Below are 6,555 nucleotides of genomic sequence, written 5' to 3'. Positions count from 1 at the left end.
TCCCTCATGCCCAAGCAGAATGTTCACTGCAGCACAGTTTGTAGTGTCACTTCTCGCTGTTGGTAAGGAAGCTTTCTGATAGTACAGGTTTGATCTTGTCCCTCTCCTGCTGAAAACCTTTCACTGGCTCCCTGTTGTCTACTTTCCTGCCCCGTAGCCCTGCACTTCTGCCCTGTCCTCTCTCTCCTTGCAGCTCTGCTCTGGCCATTTTGAAGTCCCTTCCCTTTTGGCCAAGCACAGCGTCCACAGGGTTCTCTGTATCCTGGTCCTGTTGCCTCCCCAACCCCAGTCCTTCTCACCCTTTCCTACCCCGGTATCACACCTCCTCCTCTGCCCTGGACCTGAAATGCCCTTTCCCAGATCCTACCCCACCCCTACCTCCCACTGCCAACTCCATTACTTTCTCCAAGCAACTAAGTGTCATATCACCTATAAAGCTTTTAGTGAACTTCCTCTGATCCTAGGGAAATTGATTCCTGTGTGCCCCCCATAGAATTGACTCCCATCTGCCTACCACCTGCAGACATCAATTGGAACCCCTCAAAAAAGGCAGTATCCCCATTTACTTGCCATTTTCCCTCTCCAGTCTGGGAGCTATTCATGTTCAGGCACCATGTCTTTCATGCCTCTCTGTACCCCCAGCACATGGCACATGGAATATACTCACTAAATATTTCACAAATTAGTATCTGGATGAATGAATAAAAAGTCTGACCTCTACAGCATCAGCCCCAGAAAAATGAATTCAAGAATTACGCAGACTGGGGTGAGACTGATGGAATTCAATCTAATCAACTCCTCCCCATGGATACTGAAACCAGTAAGTACTGCTATTTATAACCTCCAAAGTTTTACTTTAGTTGGATGATTCAACCAATTATTGAATTGCCCTAAGTTTTCTTAAAATTCATTTAGAACTATTCTGAAACATAGTCAACTTATTTATCTTTAGTTCAGGCATGCTTCTTGTGAAAGTATGTAAACTTCTTGAGAAAACAAAATCCCTATCTACTAGGAAATGAATTTATGAAAAGGATGAACAGACAATAACTAGTAGCCTAGCCTAGGGATCCAAGAGTTAATGTTACCTCCCAAAAGTGTTAATTGGCTCCTTATTCAGCAGGATCCAAGGATCCATTCTAATCACACATTAGTGATTTTGTTTCTACCAACTCTGGGGAAAAGCCTTTCTTAGTACTTTATGCCACAGCAGAAGTCCATGTGTGGTGTTCCATGAAGTTGTAACATTAAATTTGTTTGTGTATCTTGTAGAAATCAACCTTGCTGACTTATAAGCACAAATCTAAAAGCATCTCATTTACTGAGGACCAAGAAGGGACATATAAGTAAAGTTTTAAAATATCTTAATTTACTCCCTTTAAATCTACGGGCTTATACAGTCAGACCATTTGTGATAGCAATGCTTTTAAATATGTTGTACATTTCGTAAGCAGATGAGACAGAATATCATTTAACATTCTCCTGAACACTCAACATTATCCCCAAGAACTCTGATGCCAAGGGAGATACCAAGAGATACCAAGAGAGCTGGTCTGGGAGTTGGAGAACTAAGTTGTCATCCTGGCTTTTTCATGACTTGATGTGTGACCCTCAGCAAGCTACTTCTGCCTTCTGGGTCTCATCGATACAATGAAGAGTGAGACTAGATGATTTTGAGATGGTTTCTTCCAATTGTGTGAGGTATTTATCAAGTTTTCAAGTACATGTAATGTTATGTTACTATTTTCCAAAGGGAATATAAGCACTTACATCCAGTGTCTTCTAGAATTTGGTAGGCTAGAGAAGCATAGATTAAACACAAGAGACAGCTATTATTAAATATTGCCATGACATATAATTTAATAAGACTAGGGTATGTTAAAATAATAAGCAAACTGCGTATAATTACCTGGCCATATTTTTCAGACCCAAACTCCTAGATTTTTTTTCCCTGTGATGTACTCATTTGGTAAGTGGAAAAAAATAACTTCAACACTTCTGTCACTCCAAGTATCTACTTCTACAAGTAGAGACTACAATTAATATATATGTCCATAAAGAAATCTATTTCCAAAAACTACATATGAAGACAGTTCCAGAGTGCAAAACAAGTTCCCTAAGCCCCTTCCAATTATGGAGGCAATGACAATTAACAACTGATTTGGTGGAAAATTACTTTGTGCATTCAAAGCCTGAAATACTGCCAAAATGGGAGAGAATCAACAAAATAACATAGCCAGGCTAGATTGAATCCACAGGAAATATTATAGAAGAGGCACTTAATGAGCTGGGCAAAGGATGCTGCTTGCTCACCAGGTGAGGTTAATACAAGACCCTTTGCCCAAGCTTTCCATGACAATGCATTGCTAATTTTCTCAAGAAAAATCTGCTCCAGTGGTGAGTCACTGCCCTTTTACTGGCATTATTTTAATGATATGAGATAGAAGAAAAGGTCACAATTTAGATCAATGCCATCTTTGGATGACGGAATAGGTGAGTCATCAAATGAAATTAACACTGAAGCATCGTTGCCATTTTTGCCGTCTATACTCTCTCCTAATACTCTCTACAAAAAAAAAAATTCAATGAGATATTTCAGGAGAGCTGGTTGCTAGGTTTCAGCCTCATTCAAAGCTCTTCATTTCAGCATGGACAAGAAACATGGAAAATTTTCACGATAACGATATTAAATGTATCATGAGGCAGTCAAAGGGCTCAGATGTCTATATGTTGACAGTGGTAACTCTAGCGACTGACATAAAATACAAAAACAAAAGAAACTCAGCCGCAAGAACTTTAGAAATCATCTTAGTCCTTCCCTTTACTTTACAGAAGACACCAAGATTCAGAAAGGAAAGTGACTTGCCTAAAAGATCACACACTTAGAGGCAAGATGAGACGAGAAGCCAGGTCCTCCATCTCCTTAATCAATGTGCTTCCCAAACATCAGGCATTTTTGATTCATATATTTCATTTCAGACTTTAGATTTTACAAAATGTTTCTTATTACTGGTAACGGGAAACAGCAACCAAAACAAAGAAGATGACTTTTTTAAAAGATTTGAAAAGATTGTCAGTTTTTTAAAAGTCTTGATTAAAATATTTGTTATTAAAATGCGCTGTAACACCCCTCTAGAGAACATATACAGATGGAAACAAGCACAGGAAAAGATACTCCACATCATATATTATCAGGGAATTTTAAATTAAAACAACGAGATACCACTACACACCTATTAGAATGGCCAAAATCCAGAACTCTGACAGCACCAAATACTGGTGAGGGTATGGGGGCAAGAGGAGTTCCCATTCATTGCTGGTAGGAATGCAAAATGGTACAGCCAGTCTGAAAGACAGTTTGGTGGTTTCTTATAAAACTCAACATACTCCTACCATACGATCCAGCAATCTTGCTCCTTGATATTTATCGAAATGAGTTAAGAACTTATGTCCACACAAGAACCGGTACACGAATGCTTATCCTAGCTTTATTCATAATTGCCAAAACTTGGATGCCATCAAGATGTACTTCAGCAGGTGAATGGATAAATTGTGGTACATCCAGACAGTGGAGTATTATTCAGCAATAAAAATAAATGTGCTATTAAGCCACAAAAAGACATGGAAGAAGCATAAACGCATACTGCTAAGTGAAAGAAGCCAGTCTGGAAAGGCTACATATTGTAAGATTCCAACAATATGACATTCTGGAAAAAGGCAAAACTATGTAAACAGTAAAAAGATCAGTGGTTGCTAGGGACTTGGGTGGAGGAAGGAATGAATGGGTAAAGCACAGGAGAATTTTAAGGCAGTGTAACTATTCTGTGTGATATACTATAATGGTGGATACATGTGATTATACATTTGTCAAAAATGTACAACACCAAGAATGAACCCTAATGTATACTATGGAATTTAGGTGATAAAGATGTGTCAGTGTTAGGTTCATGTTGATGGTGGGGATGGCTGGGGGTGTGGGAGCAGGTGAGGAGGACATATGGAAACTCTGTACTTTCTGCTTAATTTTGCTATAAACTTAAAACTCCTCTAAAATATAAAGTACATGTTTTTTTTAAATGCTGTCGTTTTCTTTTAGGATGTTTTACAACTCAAAGATTTTGGATTAGGAAGTACAACACAGCCCACTGGGCTAGCTTACAAGGGAAAGCCTGATAGCTGCTAAGAAAATCCACTAAACATTCTTTAGAATATGAAAGATAATCACTTTATCCCAAAGAAGTTAAAGAGAAGATCTCATGAAATGCACTTAAAAAAATGCATATTTATTTTTATTTATTCATTTTTTTAAAAAAAACAAAAACCTACATTCTGGCTGCTATAACACACATTGCATATTTATAATGAAAATGAAAAAAATTAAATATTCAACATACCAATGTTTACTTTGTTCAAATGATTATATGTATTTTATTATGTGGTCAGAGTTCAGCAAGCTTGTTCCTTGAGTTCAATGTGACAAGCAAAACATCTGTTATGTCTAGCTAGAAGGGTCCTCCTAAAACAGCCACCCCAATGGTCTATGCTTGGATTATAGATAATCATAACATTAAATGAAGGTTATTATAAAGAGTCATTATTAGTAACAATAATCGAAGCTAAATGAAACAGATAACAATCAACATTAAAATGATCACTTGATATTGTGGAACAGCTACAGATTAAACTTTTAAAAACCACTGCATTAACAGAAAGAACATATATCTTCTAAAATGAAAACTATATCGACTTCTGAGATATAAATAACTGTGTGATCAAATGACATTAGTTATGAAGAATGTGCATTATGTAGAAAACATTGCGTTGAGGACAGAGATGGGGTCTAGTTCTGGAGGTCATTCACCGCTAGTAGTCCCCTACGTGTCAGGCCCAGCTGCCTCAGAGGCTTAAGAGAACAGAACACATATTAATATGAAACTAAATAGAAAGATTTCTAAAAAGGGACATAATACGGAATGACATCCATTCATTCACCACATGCCTTAGACACCTATTCTGTGCCAGGCATTGGGCAGAGTGGGAGAAAGATGTATTGACATGGTGCCTAACTGCATGGAAATGCATGGACCTCTAGAATTCACCCAGGCAGAAATGGGAGTAGGGGTTGAGAACCGTTTCATAAGGTTCCCTCTCAAACTCTTCAGCGCACCATTGTGTCATTGGTGTTTTGAGAAGCTGGTGACCTAGCCAGAGAACTGTGATCATGGGATTCCAGCTTTTAGAGGCTGCCCACAGCCCCTGGTTTGCAGCTCTCCTCCTCCATCAGCCAAGCCAGGAACAGCAGGTTGAGTGCTTCTGATATCACATCACTCTGACTTCCTCCTGAACTTCCCTCTTCCACTTTTAAGGACCTGTATTAGTTCCTTGTGGCAGCCATAACAGATTATCACACATTTGGTGGTTTAATCCATTTATGCCTAGTGTTTCACTATTGGAACGCTAAGCTTGTGGGAATTATTTCTATCCTACTGCTCGAGGTCATCACCAAGGTCTGATTTTTCACACAAAAAAATCTGCAACCTCCAGCATAATGGGTTAAAACAGTAGAAATGTATTCTCTCATAGTTCTAGAGGTCAGAAATCCTAAATCAAGGCATCAAGAGAGCCACACTCCTCCGAGAGGCTCTGGGGCCTCTTCCTTCCAGCTTTTGGTGGCCCCAGGCTTCCTTGGCTTGTGGCAGACTCACTCCCATCTCTGCCTCCATCTTCACATGGCTGTCTCCTCTGCATGGGTATGTCTCAAATTCCCTCTGCTCTCTCTTATATGTATGCATGTGATAGCACTTAGGATTTCAAAAATTATCAAGAATTATCCCATCCAGATAATCCAGGATAAACAGTTCCTCTCAACATCCTTCATCACTTTTCCCGTATAAGGTAATACTCACTCTTTTCCTACATAAGGTAATATCCACAGGTTCTAGGAAATAATAAGTGAATATATCTTTGGGGTACCATATTTTTAGCCAACCACAAGAGCCTGTGACAAATAACACTGGGCCCACCCAAAAAAATTGATAATATTCTCCCTGTCTTAAAGTCAGCTGAGAGGCAGACTTAATTCCATCTACAACCTTAATTCTCCCCTGCCAGATCAAGTAACATATTTACAGGTTCTAAGCATTCAGATGAGCATATCTGATGGGTCATTATTCTGCCTAGCACACCATGTAACAACTGTTATATAACAAATTGTGTCCCCTCTAAAAAATTCATATGTTGAAGTCCTAACCACTAGTACCTGAGAATGTGACTATATATGGAGATAGGCTCTTTAAAGAGGTAACTAAGGTAAAACAAGGTCATTAGGATGGGCCCTAATCCAGTGTGACTGGGGTCCTTGTAAGAAGTGATTAGGACACAAATGCCACACAGAGGGAAGATCAAGAGAAGACACAGGGAGAAGACGGTCATCTACAAGCCAAGGAGAGATACCTCAGAAGGAACCAGCCCTGCCTACACCTTGATCTTGGACTTCCAGCCTCCAGAACTGGGAGACAATGCATTTCTGTTGTTGAAGCCCCCTAGTCCATGGTA

General features: G+C 39.1%; 1 annotated feature.

The window, feature by feature from the left end:
- Positions 1,003-2,202: an enhancer, noted in NCBI's record as "MED14-independent group 3 enhancer chrX:150585487-150586686 (GRCh37/hg19 assembly coordinates)". NCBI's record gives its function as "activates an origin of replication core promoter dependent on BRD2, BRD4, P300/CBP and CDK7 cofactors, and independent of MED14, by STARR-seq in HCT116 cells {active_cell/tissue: HCT116}" and the evidence as "EXISTENCE:reporter gene assay evidence [ECO:0000049][PMID:35650434]".

Source organism: Homo sapiens, chromosome X, assembly GCF_000001405.40.
Source record: "Homo sapiens chromosome X, GRCh38.p14 Primary Assembly".
NCBI classification, from domain to species: Eukaryota; Metazoa; Chordata; class Mammalia; order Primates; family Hominidae; genus Homo; species Homo sapiens.
The sequence above is the reverse complement of the archived record's forward strand: the minus strand, read 5'-3'. Positions and strand labels throughout refer to the sequence as shown.